This window comes from Homo sapiens, chromosome 18 (assembly GCF_000001405.40).
Source record: "Homo sapiens chromosome 18, GRCh38.p14 Primary Assembly".
NCBI lineage: Eukaryota > Metazoa > Chordata > Mammalia > Primates > Hominidae > Homo > Homo sapiens.
Genome location: NC_000018.10, coordinates 53,149,686 through 53,176,510, shown reverse-complemented (window position 1 = coordinate 53,176,510; position 26,825 = coordinate 53,149,686). Strand labels below are relative to the sequence as shown.

Genomic DNA, 26,825 nt, shown 5'->3' with positions numbered 1-26,825 from the left:
ACTTTTTGATGGGGTTGTTTGTTTTTTTCTTGTAAATTTGTTTGAGTTCATTGTAGATACTGGATATTAGCCCTTTGTCAGATGAGTAGGTTGTGAAAATTTTCTCCCATTTTGTAGGTTGCCTGTTCACTCTGATGGTAGTTTCTTTTGCTGTGCAGAAGCTCTTTAGTTTAATTAGATCCCATTTGTCAATTTTGGCTTTTGTTGCCATTGCTTTTGGTGTTTTAGACATGAAGTCCTTGCCCATGCCTATGTCCTGAATGGTAATGCCTAGGTTTTCTTCTAGGGTTTTTATGGTTTTAGGTCTAACATTTAAGTCTTTAATCCATCTTGAATTGATTTTTGTATAAGGTGTAAGGAAGGGATCCAGTTTCAGCTTTCTACATATGGCTAGCCAGTTTTCCCAGCACCATTTATTAAATAGGGAATCCTTTCCCCATTGCTTGTTTTTCTCAGGTTTGTCAAAGATCAGATAGTTGTAGATATGCGACGTTATTTCTGAGGGCTCTGTTCTGTTCCATTGATCTATATCTCTGTTTTGGTACCAGTACCATGCTGTTTTGGTTACTGTAGCCTTGTGGTATAGTTTGAAGTCAGGTAGTGTGATACCTCCAGCTTTGTTCTTTTGGCTTAGGATTCACTTGGCAATGCAGGCTCTTTTTTGGTTCCATATGAACTTTAAAGTAGTTTTTTCCAATTCTGTGAAGAAAGGCATTGGTAGCTTGATGGGGATGGCATTGAATCTGTAAATTACCTTGGGCAGTATGGCCATTTTCACGATATTGATTCCTCCTACCCATGAGCATGGAATGTTCTTCCATTTGTTTGTATCCTCTTTGATTTCATTGAGCAGTGGTTTGTAGTTCTCCTTGAAGAGGTCCTTCACATCCCTTGTAAGTTGGATTCCTAGGTATTTTATTCTCTTTGAAGCAATTGTGAATGGGAGTTCACTCATGATTTGGCTCTCTGTTTGTCTGTTGTTGGTGTATAAGAATGCTTGTGATTTTTGTACATTGATTTTGTATGCTGAGACTTTGCTGAAGTTGCTTATCAGCTTAAGGAGATTTTGGGTTGAGACGATGGGGTTTTCTAGATATACAATCATGTCGTCTGCAAACAGGGACAATTTGACTTCCTCTTTTCCTAACTGAATACCTTTTATTTCCTTCTCCTGCCTAATTGCCCTGGCCAGAACTTCCAACACTATGTTGAATAGGAGTGGTGAGAGAGGGCATCCCTGTCTTGTGCCAGTTTTCAAAGGGAATGTTTCCAGTTTTTGCCCATTCAGTATGATATTGGCTGTGGGTTTGTCATAGATAGCTCTTATTATTTGGAAATATGTCCCATCAATACCTAATTTATTGAGAGTTTTTAGCATGAAGGGTTCTTGAATTTTGTCAAAGGCTTTTTCTGCATCTATTGAGATAATCATGTGGTTTTTGTCTTTGGCTCTGTTTATATGCTGGATTACATTTATTGATTTGCGTATATTGAACCAGCCTTGCATCCCAGGGATGAAGCCCACTTGATCATGGTGAATAAGCTTTTTGATGTGCTGATGGATTCGTTTTGCCAGTATTTTACTGAGGATTTTTGCATCAATGTTCATCAAGGATATTGGTCTAAAATTCTCTTTTTTTGTTGTGTCTCTGCCTGGCTTTGGTATCAGAATGATGCTGGCCTCGTAAAAAGAGTTAGGGAGGATTCCCTCTTTTTCTATTGATTGGAATAGTTTCAGAAGGAATGGTACTAGTTCCTCCTTGTACCTCTGGTAGAATTCGGCTGTGAATCCATCTGGTCCTGGACTCTTTTTGGTTGGTAAGCTATTGATTATTGCCACAATTTCAGATCCTGTTATTGGTCTATTCAGAGATTCAACTTCTTCCTGGTTTAGTCTTGGGAGAGTGTATGTGTCAAGGAATTTATCCATTTCTTCTAGATTTTCTAGTTTATTTGTGTAGAGGTGTTTGTAGTATTCTCTGATGGTAGTTTGTATTTCTGTGGGATCGGTGGTGATATCCCCTTTATCATTTTTTATTGTGTCTATTTGATTCTTCTCTCTTTTTTTCTTTATTAGTCTTGCTAGCGGTCTATCAGTTTGGTTGATCCTTTCAAAAAACCAGCTCCTGGATTAATTTTTTGAAGGGTTTTTTGTGTCTCTATTTCCTTCAATTCTGCTCTGATTTTAGTTATTTCTTGCCTTCTGCTAGCTTTTGAATGTGTTTGCTCTTGCTTTTCTAGTTCTTTTAATTGTGATGTTAGGGTGTCAATTTTGGATCTTTCCTGCTTTCTCTTGTGGGCATTTAGTGCTGTAAATTTCCCTCTACACACTGCTTTGAATGCGTCCCAGAGATTCTGGTATGTTGTGTCCTTGTTCTCGTTGGTTTCAAAGAACATCTTTATTTCTGCCTTCATTTCGTTATGTACCCAGTAGTCATTCAGGAGCAGGTTGTTCAGTTTCCATGTAGTTGAGCGGTTTTGAGTGAGATTCTTAATCCTGAGTTCTAGTTTGATTGCACTGTGGTCTGAGAGATAGTTTGTTATAATTTCTGTTCTTTTACATTTGCTGAGGAGAGCTTTACTTCCAAGTATGTGGTCAATTTTGGAATAGGTGTGGTGTGGTGCTGAAAAAAATGTATATTCTGTTGATTTGGGGTGGAGAGTTCTGTAGATGTCTATTAGGTCTGCTTGGTGCAGAGCTGAGTTCAATTCCTGGGTATCCTTGTTGACTTTCTGTCTCGTTGATCTGTCTAATGTTGACAGTGGGGTGTTAAAGTCTCCCATTATTAATGTGTGGGAGTCTAAGTCTGTTTGTAGGTCACTCAGGACTTGCTTTATGAATCTTGGTGCTCCTGTATTGGGTGCATATATATTTAGGATAGTTAGCTCTTCTTGTTGAATTGATGCCTTTACCATTATGTAATGACCTTCTTTGTCTCTTTTGATCTTTGTTGGTTTAAAGTCTGTTTTATCAGAGAGTAGGATTGCAACCCCTGCCTTTTTTAATTTTAACTGGAGACAATGAAAAATTCTGTGGACAGATGGTGGTGATGGTAGCACAACAAGGTACATGTGCTAATACCATAGAACTGTACACTCAAAAATAGTTAAAATTGTAAAATGAAAGATATGTTTTACCACAATAGAGAAAAAGCACCCTGTATGAATCTGGATATAGCCTGAGGTTTAGGCATTCTTTTAGAAGTGCAGTATGAAGTTTCTGGAAGGCTGAATTCCGACTTCTAGGAGAGTAGGGGTCTGGATGAGATTCAATAGTAATCTAAAGTAGGTAAGGCTAAGAAATATGGAACAATGCTCCCATTTGCCACATACCACACTGCTATATTCTACCAAACTAAGATCATTTAGGTCAGCAAATTGCTTTTTAAAAGCAAACCCTCATAATAGAATTGTATGCCTTGTTGTATATAGCTCAAAGAGATTGAGCACATGGAGATGGGGATTTTTGCTTATTTTTGTTTTAGCAGAAGAATTTTTATACCCAGTGCCTCAGGTACCTTACTGATATAGATAGGGTGGTTTTGTTATCATTATTTTACATATAGAAAGTGAGATTTAGAAAAGCAACATGATTTATTCAAAGGCTTCACAGTTAGTGGGTATCACACTTAAGAATGAAATCTGGAACTTCCTCCTCTAAATCTAGTATTGATATCATTCAACAATAGTGGAAAAATAAGGAACTTCTTTGGATCATGGGAACTTTGGGTAAAAGACATGAGGTCCTATAGGGAAAAAGGGGACAATGAGCACTCAGAGACTGCTGAGAGGATCAATTTGTCTATCATCTGCTGTGAATCATTTCAAAGCATCTTTTCTAGACCTTCAAGCAACATTGTTATCAAAGGCCATATTTGCCTATCAAACACCTTGGGTATGTATAAGGAAGGACAGCTTTCATAATTGACTTTATTCTTACAAATACTAAATAAACTGGATGAAATAACTGTGTTCCAAGTCACGCTGGCCATAACCCTTTGAACAGGTATTATTCTGTATTTTATTTTTTAAATAATTTCATTATTTTAGATTCTGGGGTACATGTGAAAATGTGTTACACGGGTATATTGTGTGATGCTGTGGTTTGAGGTATGATTGATCTTGTCATGACCAGGTAGTAAGTATAGTACGCAACAGTTTTTCAACCCTTGCCCTCCTGCCTTCCTCCTATGTGACAGTCCCATGTCTACTGTTGCCATCTATATGTCCCTGAGTACTCAGTGTTAAGCTCTTACTTATAAGTGAGAACATGTAGTATTTGGTTTTCTGTTCCTGCATTAATTTATTTAGGATTATGGCCTCCAACTACATCCGTGTTGCTGCAAAGGGAGTGATTTCATTCCTTGTTAAGGCTGCATAGTATTCCATGGTGTATATGCACCATATTTTCTTTATCCAGAATATATGAGTGCATGGATGTTTTTGTTAGAATTATTTAATTTATTTTGGATATATACCAGTTAATAGGATTGCTGGGCTAAATTGTGGATCTGTTTTAAGTTCTTTCAGGAATCTCCTAATTGCTTTCCATAGTGCCTAAAATAATAAATTTACATTTCTGCCAACAATGTATAAGCATTCCCTTTTCTCTGCAGCCTCACCAGCATCTATTGTTTATTATTTTTTTTTTTTTAGTAATAGCCATTCTGACTGATGTGGAATGGTATTTCATTTTGGTTTTGATTTGCATTTCTGACGATTAGTGATGTTGAGCAGTTTTTTCATATGTTTGCTGTTTGTATGTGTTCTTTTGAGAAGTATCTGTTTATGTCTTTTGCTGAACAGGTATACTTTAAAGGAAAGGGACGCAAGAAAATCTGGACATGTCCAGGTAAAAATGTCCAAGATCATGAAATGAAAATATCACTTACATATACAAGAGGATGTTGGATTTCATAATGGGGAAGATTTAATAATCTTCATTAGCCTCCAAAAATTATCCAAAATTAATAATTCATAAAAAATTTATGTATAAACATATTCATTGATATGGACAATTCATACTTTCTCAGTCTTACATAAAGTATAAATAAAGCATCTTTTGAAAATGTTTCCATGATTTTGATCTGTAAAATAGAACCCAGGCAAATGCATTGTGCTTGCTATGTAAATACACCTCCAAGACAACTCTATGGTTCAACCTCTGATCACCTGCTGGTTCTGCCCTGGGTTGATCACTGGTTTCCACAATGTGGGCTCGTAGTGGTTTTAAACCATGGTTTAATCTAACCATTTCAATTTTATGTGCCACTTTCCAGAAATCTGCTTATCATATCAAAGGGAGTTTGCATCTAAACACTATGTAGGCCAGGCACAGTGGCTCACACCTGTAATCCCAGCACTTTGGGAGGCCGAGGCAGGCAGATCACTTGAGGTCAGGAGTTCGAGACCAGCCTGGCCAATCTGGTGAAACCCTCTCTCTAGTAAAAATACAAAAATTAGCCGGGCATGGTGGCATGAGCCTGTAATTCTAGCTACTCTAGTGGCTGAGGCACGAGAATCACTTGAGCCTGGAGGCAGAAGTTGCCATGAGCTGAGATCATGCCATTACACTCCAGCTTGGGTGACAGAGTAAGACCTTGTTTTAAATAAACAAACAAACAACAACAACAAAAAACAAACCTCAAAAGCCTATGTAGACTGTGGAGTAAGTAGTTCAGGACTGAGGTAAGTCAGGGGGGCTGTTTCTGGCCTTCACATTAAACTTTCTGAGCCCCAGATTTCTCAAGTACAACATATGTGCTATAAAAATTTTGTATCACAATGTCTGAAAGAATTAAATGAAATGCTGTAGGTAAAATATCTAAAGAAAAATACATGGCACCTGATACTTAATATGGATTCTGCCATAATGGCAGTCACTGCTATTATTTTATAATAACAAAATACCACCACAACTTCATAAGAAATAAATCTATTGCGTCCAAGAAGGGGACTTTTCCACAAAGTATTTAAAACCAGGAATCTGAGGACATAACTTAATGAGAGATATAATCACATAGAAAAAAGCTACATAGATAGGTTTCCCTGACATTGGGGCTTGCCCCCACTCCAAAAAAAATCTTTATTGATATTTTCTATCATATTAATTTTCTTTGCAAAGATAAATCAAAACAAAAAGAGTGAGCATAACTACACACATTGAACAAGTTCCAATAATGAAAATATTCATTTTTAAAGGGCTGGAAACTGCTCTCTGAGGGACACTGAGAAGAAATAGGAGTTCCCTGAGTTCCACAGTACAGCTTGATAGTCTTATGGTATCTGATGTCCCCACTGGTGGATGAGTGTCTGCTGCCAAACTGCTGCGTGGCTTCCCTGTGTTTTAATGGGGTGACATCTAATTGCTAACATTATACAAAAGCATATTGAGAAAATGGTATTTCCTGCCATGTTATCCTTCACAGATTTGTTCAGTTCTAGCCCCAAGGATTCCCACGAGTTTTTAATCACCCTTTCCAGGCTTTAATAGCTGTAAACAAAATATAGCAAACCATTTCCCAACAACTAAGTAACATCTGAGTTTGGAAGGGCAGTTTATTATGTGGGATTTCTCTGGTTCCACTATAGGCCAACACTAGCCACCTAAAGTAAATTTTCCATGAAGCAGTAATTAAGGATTTCCTCTCTGCTCACTGTAGTCCATACCCCTCTGTAAATGGGCAGATAAGCACACTGGGTTCTGAAGAAAAGAGAACAGTGAATAATGAGAAGTTTACCCAATTTTTGGGTAAACTTGTATTGTTCGGCCTCTCACTGCGTTAACAACTCCTGTGGAAGCGGCAGGGACCCCAAGCCTCCTCCCTCTCAGTGATGTTCTCTCCTGTGAATCTGAAGACATAATTACCCTTCAAATATGCAGAACTCAGAGTCATGATCTGTAACACCAGATGGATTGTCAGACAAATCTTCTCCACTTCATTCCTTTCCCCCTAACTCTAAGTTGGCAGTGTGGTGGAGTTAAGCCAAATTCAGGATAAGTCGATTGAAGTAAAGGAATCAAGCCACTTGTGCCTGCCTGAATCCATTCACAGCAAATTTACTCAATGAAAATTCACATAGAGCATCAAATATACGAAGTCTGATTCCTCATGCTAAAAAGTCTGTAGACAACTTGTCCACTTGGACTTTTACAAGGAGGCTATAAGAAGAGTTAGTTAATAAGAAGCGTTAATTTTTTGTGAATGCTAGTTTTAAGAACTTTGAGTTACTTGATTAAAGTGTCTTGGAAAATAAATGTTTCTACTCTAAAAGCATGCAGTTTGACCCACTAACCATAATGTTCCTGCTTTACTGAGATCAGTCCCTGTAACTCTTAAGCACTGACATCTTTTGAAGCATGAAGTCAAGCATGGCAACATGCGATGCACCATTGTGCAATTTACATTGAGATCTAATTCTGGTAGAGTATATTCTCCTGTGCCTAGAACTGGTCCCTGATTTAGTTGGTACTTAAATGTATTGCATTATAATAATAGCTTTTTCTAGCATTTTGCCATTAGTCTTCTCAATTTTTGCTATCATCTATTGACAAAGATACCCTTTTAACACACATAACCTGTCAACTCCATGCCCACAACCTTGTGCTAGCTGCCATTCTAGATTAATGAGATCTCACCTCCATGGAACAAGGTTCAAAGACCTTCACGATGTGGCCCAAAGCTTTGCACAGTCATCTGCAATGAGCCGTCCTGCCCCAGGACCCCTATGTTCATGTCAGCTTCTCTGTCTTTTCTTATTTTGCTTTTCCTTTTCCTTTCATTTCTTTTTATTACACTTTAAGTTCTGGGATACATGTGCAGAACGTGTAGGTTTGTTACATAGGTATACATGTGCCATGGTGGTTTGCTGCACCCATCAACCTGTCATCTACATTAGGTATTTCTCCTAATACTATCCCTCCCCTAGCCCCCCCGCCCGCCCCCAGACAGACCCCAGTGTGTGATGTTCCCCTCCCTGTGTCCATGTGCTCTCATTGTTCAACTCCCAGTTGTAAGTAAGAACATGTGGTGTTTGGTCTTCTGTTCTTGTATTAGTTTGCTGAGAATGATGGTTTCCAGCTTCATCCATGTCCCTGCAAAGGACATGAACTCATCCCTTTTTTATGGCTGCATGGTTTTCCATGGTGTATATGTGCCACATTTTCTTTTTCCAGTCTATCACTGATGGGCATTTGGGTTGGTTCCAAGTCTTTGCTATTGTGAACAGTGCCGCAATAAACACACGTGTGCATGTGTCTTTATAGTAGAATGATTTATAATCCTTTGGGTATATACCCAGTAATGGGATTGCTGGGTCAAATGGTATTTCTGGTTGTAGATCCTTGAGGAATCGCTACACCGTCTTCCACAATGGCTGAACTAATTTACACTCCCACCAACAGTGTAAAAGTATTCTTATTTCTCCATATCCTCTCCAATATCTGTTGTTTCCTGACTTTTTAATAATCGCCATTCTAACTGGCATGAGATGGTATCTTATTTTGGTTTTGATTTGATTTGCATTTCTCAATGACCAGTGATGATGAGCCTGGAGTTACCTTCTCCTGACTCACACTTCTGACTCTGTTTGGCAAAAGCTTGTTTCAAATGAAACCCAATTGGAATCCAATTCAAAGGAAATGTTTAGCTGAAACTTCGTACCCTCATGTCTTCAAACCCAGTACCATTAAATGCTCTCTTTTGTGTTTTCATTGCTTTCTGTTTATACATCTAGTGTATTATGTATCACTTTGTATTAATGGACATGCATGTTTCTTTGACTTCACTGTAAATTATTTAAAAAGAGAAGCCATATTCCATTTATATTTTATTCACACTTAGCATATAGATTCACTGAGCATAAAAAAATGGCTACATTGCTGGGGCTCATAATTTTTTAAATAAATGCATAAATAAATGTGAAATTAAAAGAGAATAATTACATAAAATCTCCACATAATGTGACCTTAGAAATGCCTAGAAAATTGGATTCTATTCCTTGTTCCATCCCCATTTATTTCGGTCATCTTTGGCATGTCACTTCACCTTCCTGGGTCTTGATTTCATTATCCGTAATGGAGAGTGGGATCTACTTAAAGAAACCTCACTACTCTAATACTCTTCATTAGGAATAAAAAATAGAAAATCTCCTGTATCTACAAGTGTTTGTGTTAGCTGAATTCAGCACTTCTATTTTTACATTTCAGAAGTAGAGTTTAGAGATTAAACATGATTCTGCTTCTTAGTGGATTATTTGTAGCAAGTCTCTAACATGCATTTTTAGTAAATACATATCATCTTGCCTAAGTGCCTCAGAGTGTTAACATTTAGTTACAACTTGTGAGTTGAGCAACAAATGCTGCCTTGAGGGGTCAAACACCTAATTAGTTGCTTCAGGGAGGAAGAGTTACATTAACCTTCCTTTGTAGAGAAGGAGTTACGTTATTCTTAGTGGAAAGATTTTTAGCATCTCCTTTTTATCTCTTCTACTTTCATTCATTATTTCTTTAGTGAATGCCAGAATGTTATAACAATTAAAAGATTTCAAAACTGAAACATGGTGTTTAATGAAATAGGACTCAAAGTGATAGCAGAGTGATAACCACCCAAATGTCACATTCCTTATTACCCTAAAACCATAGGTTTGGAAATCAATGCTATCTTAGAGAGAAAGGTTTCAAGATGTTTCACTGCCAGATAAAAGCATAATGAAGACTGGAAATGTCTCTTTTTTGTTTACCTCTCTTGGTTAGAGGTATTTCCACTAAGTTTTGGTTAAAAATTGTTTTTTATTGAATTGTTAAAAAGGATAAATCTAGGAATGAGCTTTTTAAAAATGTGCTTTCCTGTAATCTCTGCTTCAACATCTAATACACACTTGAGACTAGTTACGTAACAAATGGCTACTGTAACTGCAAATAATGAGCTATATCTTGGGAGTTGGGGTGAAACAGATTTTGATTTCAAATTCTTATTTTGTTTAGTTTCAGCGTCTATCCACATGATAAATGTGACTGAGTTCTGGATTCTTTTATCATTCTGTTTTCTTGGGATGGGCCATCTTAACCTTCTCTAGCTGTAGCGAGCATCCACATGCTGACACATTCCTGATACATATCTCTGTCCCAATCCTCTCCTTTGAGCTCCAGATTCCTATTTCCACGGCCCTTGGGGACATTCCCATTTGAAGGTCGTAAAGGTATGTCAAGCACAACTTGTCTGAAACTGAATTTATGATCTTCATTTCAAATATGGACCTTTCCAGCATCCTAATCTCAGCAAATTGCACAATGATCTCTACACTGGAATATACCAGAAACCAAGTGACTGTCCTTGACAACCCCTACTCCCTCACCATTCATGTGCAATGCATTATTCAGTCCTGTCAGTTTTGCCCCCTAAATATCTACAAAGTTCTCTCTGCTGCTCCATCTCCACTGACATACCCTTAGACCAAGCTACCATCTTTTGTTTGGACTTCTGCAATAGCCTGCTGAATGACTCTGGCACCCACCTGGCTGACCTCTGCTCTAGTTTCCACTTTCTAGTCATAGTCATCTTTTGAAACTGCAAGTCTGATTATGACATAGACATCATGCACACATTTCATAAATGCTCTCACAGAAGCATGTTCCTTTCCACTAAAGCTCTTAACTAAGTGTGTGGTTATACATTCATCAGTAAGACGAACCTTTCAAGATTAACTCCTTCCAGAGAATCTGCTGGGTTCTCTTCTATTTTCAATACACTGCTGGACATGGACATATAGTCAACTCACATTCAATATTTGCTCATTTATATATGACATTTGTGGATGGCATGTTTCATTTTTCAATATGCATTAAGTCCACTGGAGAAATAAAATCATTATTCTCTCATTCAATGAATTAAAAACACTTTGAGGTACAGGGCCATGATTTTATATTTTACAGAGAAGCAGAGTGGGGCTCTAAGAAGAAGGCTAACTTTGCCAAGCTTTAAGCCAGGGCCAGAATGTCATGCTTAGGATTCTGAGTCTTGTTCTTTTTCCATCACAATATGTTCCCTCATGGATAACAAGCTCCATCAGCTGCAGAGTCCTCAACTCTGAAGAGCGGGGAAAGAATATGTAAACACCACATCAAAAATGTAATATACCATGAATTCTAAAAGGAATCCTCCATGTCAGTCAGAAAAAGCTGGTTTCTAATCCTGAACAGTGAGCAGAGGTTTTCTGAGGCAGCATAAAGCAATGTGAAGCATATATTGCTGCAAGTTGGAACACCTAGTTCAGCCTTTGTTCTGCCACAAAACAGTGTGTGACCTTGAGCAAGTCAGGGGCTATCTTGGAGCCTTCTCTGCTTCATTTGCAAAATGAAGATACCAGTCCCTTATCTGCCTACCTCACAGTATTATTGTGAGGATTAAATTGAATGATGCTCATAAAATTGTTTTAATTCTCTCATCTGCACTCCCACTGTATTTTATATGGAGCTTTTTCAGAAAATGTATTTCACTTTGTATGGCACAGTGAAGAGATCACTGGACTAGAAACCTTGCATTGAAATCCCAGTTCTAATATTTACTATTAGTGTGGTTTCTTAGCAATATTTTTCAGTCTTTCTGAACAGAGAAAGGCATACTCATTTGTGAAATGGAGATCATCATAAATACCTTATCTGAGGATCAAATGTGTGAATGCTTATGAAAGTAATAAAGTCCTCTCTAAATAAGAGTTAAGAAACACCCTTGTATTTCAGTTATTTTAATTTTCAACCCACATGATGATTTGCACATGGCATTAGCTAATAAGAATGGAATGTTGTGGGTGCACCAAAGAGCAAGTGTTTTAGGTGCTTTTATTTAACTTCATGTAATACTCATCACAACCTTACACATCAGATACTATTATTATTCCATGTGAGAAAACAAAGTCACTAGTAATTGGCCCAAAGTCACACAGATGGTAAAATAACAAGCCAGGATTTGAACCCAGGTGGTTCAATTCCACAGCCACATAGCCTTACCCTTTTGGCTATACTGTGTTATACTTCATAAGTCATTTTAGTTACAAGTGAGAGGTATAATGTTCTTTTTATATATATAAAATACAAAAACTTAGCCAGGCATGGCGGCATGCACCTGTAGTCCTAGCTACTCAGGAGGCTGAGGTGGAAGGATCCATTGAGCCCAGGAGTTTGAGGCTGCAAGTCAACTATGATCACACCACTGCACTCTATCCTGAGCAACATAGCAAAACCTCATCTCTCAAAATAAATACAACAATAAAAATTCACTAGTGTGTTTTATTAGTGGTAAATAAATAATGCAAATCAACTTAGCCATTAAGTCAAAAAATTATTGGAATGAAACATATAAAAGAATTGCATGTCATAATTCTATAAATATCAAGAACATTTAGTTCTCTTGCAGGTTAATCCACTAAGGAAGCAAGATGAAAAAGGGATTGAGAGTGCCTGCTTTGGACTATGGTCTGCACGAAATTCTAGTTCTACTACTTACTAGCTGTATAATGGAGGTATAAACTTCTTCTTTAAGTCTCATCTTGGTAAACATACTTTATGTAAGATGCTTAGCCTAGTATCTGGCAGAGTAAGTGCCCAATAAATGCTTGCTGTCACTGTTGATGATAAAACTGTGGCCTTGGGCATGGACTTTCCTCTGATCATTGGTCTCTGAATGTTTAGGTAGCAGGAAGTTAGACTATGATCTCAAAGATCACTTTTCATTCCTAATGATTTTTAGGTACTAAGAGGGGATAGCTAGATATCTATGAGGCAATTACTTCACTGTGAATTCTAGCTTTCATGTTTTGGAATATATGCTGCTCTTTAACTTATGAAATAAAAGCACCCCAAGGGGTTGGATAAAAAGATTTGAATTATGGCACTTGCATTATCTACACCATTAACAAGTCAGAAAGATTCGTGATGATCTGAGCTAGAATAACTTTCCTGACAAAGTTATTGCTAATCTGAGATAAATGTTAAATTCACAACGTTTTAGAAAGGTATTGTGTCAAGCAGCTAAATAAACCTACATGAACAAACAAACATCACAGCTAACTGCTAAGAGACAGTGGCATATTTTATGGCTCTAGTTGAAAGCCAGAAAAATCAAAGTAAATGGAGATATTAGAATAAAATTTTAATATCAACTTTTTTTGGAATTAAAGTTTTTATTGAACTGTAGTCAGCTTATTCATCCTCCTCAGTAACACAATTTATTTTACTGGGTAAGAAAAAAATCTATCGAGAATATCATATCTCTCTGCCACCTCTACCATATCAGTTCTGATCAGTTTATGTTTACATGAGGCATGATACTGGACACTTGAGCATGAAATTATGAATAAGAACTAGTCTTAATCATCAGGGAAAGAAATACACACGTACTCAGCCAAACATCAAACTTGATAAAAGGTGGCCAAGGCCATAACAGTAATGTAATCAAAATGAAGGGGTGAGATAAAGGTGAAATTGATGAATTCTGAGTTGGAGGACTATGGAGAGTTCCACACAGTAGTTGACATTTCAGCTAAGGCATCAAGTCGAAAAATATTTAGTGAGTATCTATAATGTGCTAAGCACTGTTCCAGGTGCTGAGAATAGCTCAGTGGATAAAGAAGATAAAAACAGCCTTGCCCATAGGAATATTATATTCTGGTGAGGAGAAAGGGGATTAGGGAAACAAAATTTGTAAGTACAAGGTAATAAAGGCTATGGAGAAAAATAAAAATAAAAAGTACATAGTGAGTGCCAGGGATCAAGAAAGGCTTCCATGAGAACGTGACATTACAGCAAAGATTTGGTAGAAATTAGGGAATGATCCATGTGGATCTCTGAGGAGAAGAACATCCTAGGCAGACTGAAGAGCAAGCGCAAAGATCTCAATAGAGGAAGATTCTTGAATATTTAGGAAACATAAGGAAAGTGCTACGTGATGAGGTTAGAGAAGTAACATGAGAAAAAGGCAAGGAGTTCTGTTAATTCTGTGAATGAGAAAAACAGTCATCACAGGGTTTTGAAGCAGAGGAATGACATACCCTAACTTATCTTTTAAAAGGTTTACTCCAGCTGCTATGGTAAGACTAGAATTAGGAGATTACTGCAATAGTTCCAATGAGACTTGGTTGTACTTAAGAAGTGGGTAAGAAGTGGTAGGTCTCAGTATATATTTTGTTTCTGGTCTTAATTTTTTTTTTTTTTTTTGAGGCAGAGTCTTGCTTTGTCACCCAAGCTGGGGTGCAGTAGCACGATCTCGGCTCACTGCCATCTCCACCTCCCAGGTTCACGCAATTCCCCTGCCTCACCATTCTAAGTAGCCAGGATTACAGGTGCGTGCCACCACGTCCAGCTAATTTTTGTATGTTTAGTGGAAACGGGGTTTCATTATGTTGGCCGGGCTGGTCTCGAACTCTTGACCTCAAATGATCCACTCACCTCGGCCTCCCAAAGTGCTGGGATTACAGGCGTGAGCCACCATGCCTGGCCATGTTTTGTTTTTATTTATTTGATTTTAATTGTTTATTATGAAAATTTAAACAATATAAAACTAGGCAGAATAATATGATGAAATACTTTATTTCCATAACTCAGCTCAGAATATAAAATCATAACCAGCCTTCCAATATTATTTTATAACAAAACCTGGTATACTATTTCATGGATTCAGGATATATTTTGATGGTACTGCCAAGAGTTGATGACGGATTTCATAATAAGAATTAAAAATTAACTACGAGCTATGAATTATTTCAAAGATTTTGGCCTGATAATGAGAAATATGAAGATTTCAAAAGTGGGGGGAACTCTGGAATGATGAAGTATTTGGTGGGGAGGAATTGGGGTTGAAGCATAACAGGTATTTGGTTTTATTCATAAGTTTTAGATGCTCGTGGGATATTGATGTTGAGAAATCAAGTAGGAAGACGTGTATATGAGTATGGATTGCAGGTAAAAAAGTTAGGACCAGAGATACAAATTTGGAACACATCAGCATGTTCACAGAATATAAAGTCAAGAAGTGAATGAAAGGCTTGAGTCCTGAAGCAATTTGATATGTGCAGATCAGATAAATTGGGAGTAAAAAGTAAAAAGAGCCTGAAAATGAGTAGCCAGAGTAGAATGAGGAGAGCATGTGCAATAGGAAACTGAGTGAATGAGTTTCACCGAAGGAGAAATGATCAAATGTGACAAAATTTGCTGATTGTCCAAGTAATGTGAAGACCAGGAATTGACTACTGGGTTAGCAACAGGAGGTTATTGGTGAACCTTGATAAGAGCAGTTGCTATTACATTCTAGGAACAAAATAATTATTGGAATATGATGTAAGACATTGGAGTGAAGTTAGACAATTCAAGGAATATTCCTATGAAAGAGAACAGAGCATGGAGTGGTAGAGGAGAGAAAAGTGAAATTGAAGCAAAATTTGTTGCAATGGAAGATTCGACTACATGCTGACATGCTGATAGGTGTAATTCACCTTAGTGGGAGAAACTGATGGCACAGAAGAGAGAAAGAATGGCTGAAGATTTGCTCTTTTATAAGAAAAGATGGGATCTTGTGCACAAGTGAAAGTTTCGCTTTAAAGAGTACAGGCAGTTGTTTTATGGAAATTTGAGGAAAGACAGATTATACGCTTTAAGACAAACTTGGGTGAAAAAAAAGTCACATATGAAAGCATGTAGAATTCCCCTTCTTATATTACATGAAATTAAAATCAAGGTCAGCTAAGAGTGGGGGAAAGGCGGAAGGTGTTGGAGATTTGAGAAGAGAGAAAAAGTCATGAAATATCATTAGGAGCGTATGTGAGAGAGACTGCCTGATAAATGTAGTATAATTGCCAGTAGCATTAATGGGCAACAGGAGATTAGTAGCTATGAATTTAAAGTGAGACGAATCAGCCCAGTTACACCTTTCCATCTAGCTATATTCAGCTACAAGAGCACAAGTAAAGAGTAGGTAGAAAGTTACATTTACTTGAGTTGGTTTTTGCTAAGCAAGTAATATGAAATGAGAGTAGCAGGCAAAACATTGATGCAAGTCAGCAAATATTTAATTGCTGTGTTTACTGGCCATGGAACTGTAGCTATGGAATAAGTGAAGGAAAACAGGAACTATAAGGGATAGGATCAACAGATTGCAGATCTCTATGAAATCAAAGTTTCGTTGTGTTCAGAGTCCTAAATAAAGGATAGTAAGACAAGAGTCTGGAGAGTGAGGCAAGAATATGATTTGAAACTCAGATAATGAGAGGTTGCAGTGATTGGTGTTGTCAAGGTTCATGGTATAACCATGGCAGCAAGTAGCCAAGGGGGTATAGAGGATTGATGCTTAGGATTGAAAGGTAAGAACAAGCTCAAGAGAAGAGGAAAGGACAAAATTGTATGATAAGCAGGCCTGTGAACAATTATGAAAATAAATGGTTCACCCAAACATAGCAATTTCAACAATTTCTCCTTCCCCTTCTCCTTCCCTTTCTCTTCCTCATCCTCCTTCTTCCTATACTTTGAGCCTAAATTTCAACTTCTTTTCCACATTGTCTCTGAGCTCACACTATTCTGAGCCCTTCCATTCTTCCTGTGTGGAGTGACTGCCCTGAATTCTTTATCTGAATTCCCTCAGTCCTCATAGCAATGCTAACAGGTAGAATTTATCTTCCTTTTATTCCTTTTACCAAAAAAGTATTATTCGTATTTAATACATTATTAAATACAGAAGCATCACACATTTGATAAATAGTAGGACCATTTTCAAATCTAGCTCTTGTGACTTGAGTGAAAAAATTTTAACCATTATAGATTATAGAAACCACACTTTTACATATATGCATACAGATAGACAGATATAGATACAGATAGATTGGGGCTAGACTTCCATTGAAAGAAGTCTGAAGTTCCATGTGCATATATTTGTATAGCAGTTTTATTGTATTTAAGAACCAGTCACATTTTGGGGCAGTGGAGTGAGTGATCAAAACTATATTTCAAAAAGGTAACTACAAACAGTGAGGAAGATGGATTGGCAGGTGAGGAGCGATTCCCAGAGATCAGGTAAAGATGTTGAAAATAATAGAATAAAGGAAGCATGGCTGAGCTATGGCCAAGGTAAAGTTGACAAGACTTCACGAGGAATGGTAGTGTTGGGAGGCAGCAGTCAGTAAAACATGGCATGAATTTTTTGCTTGGTCAACGGGGATGGAAGATACTAACATAAACTAAGAAAAGAAAGGAAAAATATACATAAGGAGGAGAAAGTGAGTATGTTTTGGGCAGGTTGAATTTAAGGTACCTCCAGGAAATCCATGTAAAAACATGATGACTGGGCAAGAATCATTGCTTCCAGTTTTCACAGCTGCACACACTGAAATCCAAGGAACTCAGGAGGCATCGTAAGATCACAAATAGTTACAGAGATAACACTAAAACGAACGCCTGTTTCTTCACAGTAATGAATAATCTTAGTGAGCACAAGGCAATATGGGTATGCCTACATCTTCTTCTTTTTTTTTTTTTTTTTGAGATGGCGTCTCTGTTGCCCAGGCTGGAGTGCAGTGGCACAATCTTGGCTCACTTCAACCTCCGCTTCCCGTGATCAAGCAATTCTCCTGCCTCATCCTCCTGAGTGGCTAGGATGACAGGTGCGCGCCACCATGCCCAGCTAATTTTTTGTATTTTTAGAAGAGACAGGGTTTCACCATGTTGGTCAGGCTGGTCTTGAACTCCTGACCTCAGGTGAGCCACCTGACTTAGCCTGCCAAAGTGCTGGGATTACAGGCGTGGAGTCACCTTGCCCAGCCTCTTTCCTTTCATTTTAAAGTAAGGTCAATTTGTAAAAGATAACAGAAACTTTAAAAGGCTAAACTTGAACTTGCTGCCAACTACAAAGGAGAGCATTTTGAGACCCAGCAGGTGAGGAGCTGTACTGCACCACCTGAGCACCAGACTGTCCCATTTTGAACTAAATAACACTTTGGTTTATCCAATGTATATGTCCCCTTTTGAATTCTAAAGATCATCACATGTTTACAGCACTCACAAATTTGAGGGACTAGAACCCTAGGACATGAATCCCTGCTTCTCCTGAAGTGGAACTTATCCAGCATTTACCTCAGACTTAAACATCAAATTTCAAAGTCATAAGATGGTGAAATATCTTAAGGGGAAAATGTTGAGAAAAAAATGCAATGGATTGTAATCTTGAAACCAGATATGTACAGCTCACTTTTGCTTAGTCAATAGTAATATCCACAATAACAACTTCTACCAAGTACTGGACACTGATATGACATTTATATATGCAACTTAATTTAATGCTAGCCAAAGCCTTGCAAGGTAAGTATTATTTTTTTAAATTTGATTTTTTTTTGTTTTTAAAAAACTTTTAATTTTCGTGGGGACATAATAGATGTACATATTTATGGGATACATGATGTATTTTGATACAGGCATGCAATGTGTCATAATCACATCAGGGTAAATGGGGCATCCATCACCTCAAGCATTTGTCTTTTGCATTACAAACAATCCAATTATACACTTTATTGTATATTTTAAGGTAGGTATTATTAATTTCTCCTTATTAAAGAGGAAAATGAGGCTCAGAGAAGTCATGTGGTTTTTTGGAGCTCATGTGATGTCAATGACAGAAATGGGATTACAAGCTAGCCACAGTAGTGCTTTTATACACTGTTCTACTAATATACAGCCTAATTCTGTTCTCTGTTTATGACTCTGAAAACCAAAGAAATAAAAAATTGACATAATATATTCTTACCTTTTTCAAGGATTTTTTATACAGATAATTTCATTAGACTGTGTCAACAACACTGCTTTTTAAAAGTGCACATCTCCACTGGGGAATGAGTGAAGGACATAGTAGAGATTTCACAGCCTCTCCAAAGTTCCTGCCCAAGATCTCCTCCTGCCATTACCCAACCGTATTGACTTAAAGAGATGACCGATTAAGCTGAATTTTATTGGTAGCATCACCTACCTGTTGTCACCTTCTCTGGAGAAAAAGACCGTGAAAGTTTGAATGTTCCCTTTCGCTTCTGCAGGTGGGCGCCAGCTGAGACGGACAAATCGGCTGGAAACCAAGACAGGGACCACATCTCTGGGAGCCGAAGGGAGGACACTGGAGCTTGGGATAGCTAAGGAGAAAGAAGAGGAGGCTATCAGAGGTGTCGCTGCCATAGGTAAGAATTGGGTAGGAAGGCAGAGCCAACCTATTAGCAAGCATCTCCATGTCATAGTCACCTTGATTCTAAAGCAAGGAAGAAAACCAAGGGAATGCACACAGTAAATGGAATAAAAGGTATATTTGTATTTCTTGGGTTTTAAAGTGTGGCTAATGACATGTATACAATTCCACTGCTTAAATGTCCAATTTCTATTACCCATGGGATCTATGACAATAAGGGAAAAAAATGTCTGCTCAGGGAAGAAAAGGGGAGAGAAATTTGGCAATGTGAATTTTTAACAAGCACTTGAGTTCTAGAAAGACCTTAGAACTGTGGATAATATGATTCAATATTGTAAAAGGATTACACCTCTCATGACTTTAACTGATGATAGAAAATGTCTTTGGTAAAAGACAAATCATTTTAAGTAATTAATATTTCCCTGAATTGTTTCTGGAATGAAGCAGAGGTTGAATAAGTAAAAATATGGATAAATGAATAAACGAATGAACACATGTATCTATATTCGAAGTAAAAGACGGTATTACAATTCAGAAGATAAACTCAAGATATACTAAATATAAATCTAAATTTACAGTGACTATTTGTCAAAGATAACCTATTGGCATTTTTAACAGTTCTAAGAAGAGCTAAGAGGGCCATAATCTCCAGGATTTTACAAGGTTGGGGGCAGTTATTACTGTAGAAAAAAATGTAATCATATAGTTTTAACATACAGTAAGACCACATGATTTCTGACAAAGAAAAATCACATACTATAAAACTCTTCTTATGTATTAAAAAATGGTAACGAAGTTGATTCTTTTTTTTTTTTTTTTGGTTGAGATGGGGTCTTGCTCTGCAACCCAAGCTGGAGTGCACTGGCACGATCTTGGCTCACTGAAACCTCAGCCTCCAGGTTCAAGTGATTCTCCTGCCTCAGGCTCCCGAGTAGCTGGGATTACAGGCATGTGCCCCCACGCCTGGCTAATTTTTGTATATTTAGTAAAGATGGGGTTTTGCCATGTTGGCCAGGCTGTGTCGAACTCCTGACCTCAAGTGATCCACCCACCTTGGCCTCTCAAAGTCCTGGAGATACAGGCATGAGCCACCATGCCTGGCCCCAAGGTGATTCTTTAAAATATTCATTTCACAGTTAAAATATGTTTCATAGTAGAAAAGATACAGCCCAAGTAGGTGTACAAACACTGACACCGAGTTTAATAAAGCGCTAATTTGGAAGTCAAACCAATGGAGACCTCAATATTCTATAACATAGCCACAGACTTACCTGTATTCATAAATGCTTCAGGTAACCAAAAAGTTATCACAAAACCTTATTCCTGTCAGTATCTGTCTACATGTTTACACTGTTCTGATACAATTTATTTCTGCCTCAGCCTCCTGAGTAGCTGGGATTACAGGCACACACCACCACACCCGGCTAATTTGTGTATTTTTGGTAGAGACAGGGTTTCACTATGTTGGCCAGGCTGGTCTTGATCTCCTGACCTCAGATGATCCACCTGTCTTGGCCTTCCAAAGTACTGGGATTACTGGCGTGAGCCACCTCTCCCAGCCTGTTTGGAAACAATTTGAAGTGGTTTATTTATGTATTTTTTAAGACCATAGAAAATTAAGAGCAGAAATGAAAAGCTGATGAAAGTTAACAAAAAGTAGAAGCAATTTTCATGGACTTGTTCATAAGAACAACTCTGAATTATTCACAATTAAAAAACTGTCTTTTCACAAATTGGGGGAATTAATAATATGTAAGACAGGGTTTTCTATTACATATGTGCATGTATATTTTGTAGTGTGTGTCTGCTTGGGTGTGTGTGAATTCATAATTCAGCTTTGCTGTGATAACTCTGTTTTCTTTATGTTTGTTAAAGTTCTCAAGTCTAGGGAATACGTGTTTCATCTCGACAGGTGATCTCTAGCCACAAATCACAGGTACCCATTTGCGGATATAAAATCTTCAAACCGGCTTTTGTGGTCCATTTTCCCTAGTCTTTATCAAAGTCAGTCTTCATTCTTGCATTCACTTTGTATAGCGACTGGCTGAGTGGTATCACTGCCATGAGTTAAACTTCTGCTAGCTAGAAAAATTCATCTGGGTAGTGGAAATACCCCATTTTCTAATGGTTCCAGAAACATTATCGATATACAATTCTTACTAGCTATACAGAGAAATAGAGGTTTTAAAGAATGGCAAAAAAAAAAAAAGTATTCAAAGTTATTTCTGACTCCATAGATTCTTTGACTATTTCTTTGTAGATAAAATTTCGCCTTGCTCTCTGGATCAGTACAGTATTTTAAATAAATGGAAGAGTGGCAGTGAGTTAGTCAATCTTTTATAGCAGAGTGGTGAGGGAGAGGAAAAGATTGATGCCTGGGGATGGCGTATCTCTCTCAAAAATATGAGTGATATTAAGCTTCTTGACAAAAACTTTTACTTCCACACATCACAGGCAGCTAAGACTAACACACTGGAGTGAATTTATTCTCTCCCTCCCCCTCAGCCTGCTTCTCCTCCTGGGTGATATTCAAGTTGTCCTCTCAGCTGTGCAGCCTGGAAACCCGAAGCCCATCCTTGATTCCTGACTCTCCTTCACTCACCGCATGCTAGGGTTCCCCGCTCCTGAACATCTCATTAATCTACCCACACTATTGCGTCTCCACTGCCATGCTTCCATTGACACCATTGCACTCTCTAACTGGAATTACCACAAGTGTCCCCCAGCTCCTCTGCCTTCCTTAAACTCACCTTCCTCAAATATATTCTCTGTGCAGCATCCAGAATGAGCTTATAAAAATATAAATCTGGTCGTGTCACTCTACTACTTATTTTTCCTCCACAAATCGTCTTCAGGGCAAGCTTCAAACTTCTTAATTAGCTTGCTGGCCTGACTCCTGCTGACCATGGGTCTTGGGTGGCTTTCTCCGTAAACAAGGCTTCAGAAGAGGACTTTTGTTCAAGTACTACATTTGGGAGATGATCCCAGAAATACTGCAGAGAATCAGGAAGTGAGACAGGGCAGGGAGGGACCTATCTGAAGAGTGCATTATCTATATGGCTATACCTGTGGGAAACGGAAGGGCAAATCCCATCGGGGACTCTGGGAGTCAGTACAGGACATGCCTCAGAGTTATTCATCCCTCAGAGTAGTGGATAGGGGTATTTATCTACCTACTCCTTCTCCATCATTTGTTGAGGGTGATTCCAGGGGATTTGCCTTTCCTAAACAATGGCCTAGTGTGTTCCTACAGCAAGACAGAAAATACCTTCGGGCAGAGGCTTGCAGAGGTGCACAGTTAGCAACGTTCAGTAGCTCTGCTCACTCAGCAAATATTCGAACAGCTCAGATCGCCTGTCCTCCTTGTCTAAGCACAGAAGAGAGAGTGGGGAACAACAGACGAAGCCAATGTTCTCATGGTGCTTATGTGGAAGCTCCTTGGCTTCTTGATGCTTCTATATTAAGTATGTTCTCCTCATGCTGAGCCCCCTGCAATTGCCTAGGCCTTCACAGAAGCAGATCCCAAACCTTAACAAGCCCCTCTCACTCATCTGTATAACTCCTACTTTCCCTCTTGGTTTAGTTGAGGTGTTGTTTCCCGTGGAAAGACTGACTGAAAGTATTTAGAAAATATATAAAAACCAAGTAACATAATATTAAAAAGCATGTTTTTAAATCTTTAAAATAATAAATCGTCTTATTGAAAAGTGGGGTTCAACTTGACAAATAATGCAAGAAATACACATTAAAACAGAGTCTGAAAAAATTCTATCGGAGACCACTTTAAAGAAGGTGAATATCTCATGTCGGCCAGGGTGTGGCGCTCTCACAGGCTCTCAGTTGAAGTGTGTGTGAGCACTACATGTTCAGAAGTAAATGTGGCAAAATCCTTTTAAAAAAATTCATAGCATCAGGCCAGATATTCTCATTCCTATAAATTTATTATTTAAAAAATAACAAATCCCTCCTTCATCAGTATATCAATCTGAAATTATAGATAGCACATTTACTCAAAATGTAATACCTCTATAACTTACCAGTTATTAAAAAATGGGAACATTACTAGATTTTTGAGAAACGTATTTTTAAACATATAATTAATTATAACTTGGTGAAAGCTTTTTGAAATTTTCAAGAAGTTAGACAAATAAGTTTTATACGAACAAGAGGGAAGTTTTCCAATCTTTTTCCTCCAAGAGCATCTCACTCCTACATGATGTCAACATCACAAACCAATTGGCATCTCCAACCCACCCAGGGAGTGCCAGAGAGGAGGGCAAGGGGCAATGGCAAGCAGGCAGATGCTCCTCCCTCTTTTCTCCTTAGGCTTCAGGGAGTGTCTTCTCACAGAGCTGGTCTAGACTCAGATGGCACAAAGCTCAGCATAGAATTAATCACGGACTCTTTACCTCAGTTTAAACAGGCGTTATATTAAAACGGAGGAACACAGTTTTAACAAAGGAATGGCTTCTTATCTTATACAGGGGAATTAATTTTGTTCTTACTAATCCTCCATGCTTTCTCTCAACAGTAACTTGCCTTCAAATAAGGTCTCAATAAAGAACCAATCAGGACTTCTTTTCTTTGCTCTTGGAGGCCTAATCTCCAGTCTGGCCCTAATCTCTCTGGCCCATTACTGTTGCTATAGCTACAGCTTCTTTATCTGTTGTCATGGAGAAGAGGAGGTGAATTTGCCACACTATAATGACAGTCTTTTTTTTTCTTTTAAGAACATCTTTAAAAATTTTTTAATAATAGCCAAATCCAGGAAAGGGTGATAATTTTTATAGATAACGAAAAGCCAAATATTCATAGTTTTGAAGCCAAAAAATAATATTTTGTTTAGGTCCCCTGCAATAGCCTTGGTAACAATGATGCTATTGGATTAATTTTTTAAATAAAGCTTCAATTTTTCTAGATACCAAGGACTTTTTCTGTCACACGTTATTATACAGTGTTTATGAACATGAATTTTTTTCTAAGCTTATTGATAGTCCACTACCTTCATTCCCTATGATGTATATGAAAGATAAGGGGTACTCATAACAACAAAAATGTTTAATTTACATTAAACCTCAAACAAGCCAATAGACCTATTTCCTTGTTTCATTCCCCATGTTGCTCACTAAAATATTACAAATGTAGCCACCAAATCAACTAGCTGCTTTATTAGCTGCATCTGCTTTATTAGTCTGCATCTTCACCATTTAATAAAAATAATATGTAACTAGATATTGTCAGTGAAATAACAGAAACACTTAATTTTCCTAAGAGCAAACAACTATCATTTCTCCTTTTGATTTTTTTTTCTTGTTGTTCCCTTGACACTAAACTCTAGCTTTTTATTGTCTAAATGAAGAAGTGGATAAACCTAAATGATAGTTAAGTTTTTACAGTTCATAAAGTTATTTCATAAAATTATCAAAAAAAGAAGCATGGTTGTGTATAATTAAAACTTAAAATGAAATAATATTTTTTCTAAAATGTTACATTATTTTCAAAATGGAAAGAATCATGACTTTTGTGGTAGTAGATTAAGAACTTTAGAAAAAGTAAGAAATGTAGATTTTATAAAATAGTTATTTGAAACCATTTTTAATCTTAATGAGATGAAACTTAATGTACTCCATAAAATCTCATTAAATAATCATTTATTTATTTGTTTTTAATTGCCAGATAACATTGTATGCTTTTATCCTGTATAACATGATACCTTGAGGCATATATACATTGTGAAATGGTAAAATCTAATTGACAATGCATTATCTCACACACATAAAATAATGTATTGGATAGGTACATTTTAGATAAAAATGAATAATGAATATTGATGGAATATCTATCATGTTCCTACTGTTACGCATGAAGCTAATAATAATTTATTTTTAAGCCCTGAGTTTTGACCTTAGAGAACAGGCAATTAATTTGAGGACTCAAGATGTACCTGTGTAAGACTATGGAAAAGTTAGAGACAGTCACTTGCTTACAAATGAGTTCCATTCTAGAGTTTGGGTAGAAAAGTTATTTAGACATTAGAACACACCACCTCACTAAATGATTTCTATTCTGTTTCCAGATACCTATTTAATTTGTACATTAACTATCATAATAATAGTGCTATGGAATTGAATCATACCTTGTATGTACTCTTTGATAAAATGAATTTATGCATCCAATTATTAATCCATTCAATGTTAATTGAAGACATACTTTGTGCAAGGCACTGGGTGAGAAGCTGTTCAATCCATTTTCAAATCCCAGAGGGAAAACCAGCTTGGTCATACCCCCTACTCAGCTTGGCTTGACCCTCCAGGATGCATTTGCTGCCACCTCCAACATTACTCCTTCCATATCAGCTATACTTTCTCAGTTGTCTTCAGCATGACAGGGCCTGAAGGATCTAAGCCTGAAAGATACAGTTGAGGGTCTCTGAGAGTGCGGAGCTAGGTTTCAGGAGTGTGCAGAGACTTTACTTTCAGAACAGCCTCCTTGCTACCTCTCAGTTCTCCATGCTGAACTTGCTCAATTCCAGGAAGACCTCATGCTTTCACCTCTGCTACTTTTGTGTGCTGCAAACTCAGCTGGAATACCTTCCTCCAATTGCTTTGCTGCCCTGACGTGGGGGCCTCCTTCAGGTTTCAGTTAGAGTGTCACCTCACTGATCTCCAGCCTGGCTTAGGCCCCTCTACCTGGGTGTTCACAGGATCTGGACAAGACAAACTCTCCTGTCAGGGCACTTCCCTGGACTCCAACAATCCGGTCATTTTTGTTATTGTTGTTGTGATCCTATTACAAATTGTATGCTCTGTGAAAGAAGGAACCAAGTCTAAACTGTTTATCACTTTAATCCTCCATCATTATCACAGTGTATGTTAGCCATATCACAGGTATACATTAAATTATTGCAGGGTCCAGCTAAACGGAAGGCTTTGCAAATTTGTGAGATTATGTTAAGACTTTGGCTGGAACACTCCTTTTCAGAACTCTGTACAGTGGTTGCTTGAGAATATGCACTGGGAGAAGACTGAGCATTACTGCCAACTAGTTATGTTCATTATTATTAATTTGCAGATAAATTACAAAGTAGAATGAAAAACCAAGCTCAGAGGAAGGTTCTAAGGAAATGCAGGTTTGGGGTGAGAACATTTTATTTTGAACCAAATGGAGAAGGGGAAATATATCACAGCCTGCTCTGTCACAGTTTGTCAGCCTTGATCCCTAGAGGAAGCCCTGGTGGCAAGCTTTCTACATTGTGCCAAACAAAGTAGGTGTGTTCACATAACGATGCTTCCTAAGGGAAATAATGCTTTCATTAAGAAGCAAAAAGGAAGCTCGAAAATTTGGTTTGGGCTGACCTTGTATCCAGAAGGGGACCTACGGGTCTGTTATAGAAAGTGTGATTCTTATCCCAGAATCATACAGCAAAGAGTATGGCCAAATAAAAGTTGTATGCTAAAAAGGATTTCCTATGGCCACACAAAGAGATAAACTGAGAAACTAATTTCGGGAAGTATTTTCATCTCAGCAACGATAACTATAGCTCTCAGAGTTTGAGCTCTTTTCAGAAAAAAGGAGGAGAAAAATATTATCTGATAAACTGGCCAACCAATATGTGAGCAA

The 26,825-nt window shown here is 37.7% G+C and overlaps 1 protein-coding gene across 5 annotated transcripts in view; it reads right to left on the bottom strand.

The window, feature by feature from the left end:
• The window catches only part of DCC (DCC netrin 1 receptor), a 1,195,703-nt gene that overhangs the window by 359,389 nt on the left and 809,489 nt on the right, over positions 1-26,825 (bottom strand). For all 5 annotated transcript variants that reach the window (NM_005215.4, XM_017025568.2, XM_017025569.2 and 2 more), the window contains one exon: positions 18,999-19,155. In NM_005215.4, coding sequence (NP_005206.2) covers positions 18,999-19,155 — 157 coding nt within the window. The remainder of the gene's footprint in view (positions 1-18,998; positions 19,156-26,825) is intronic.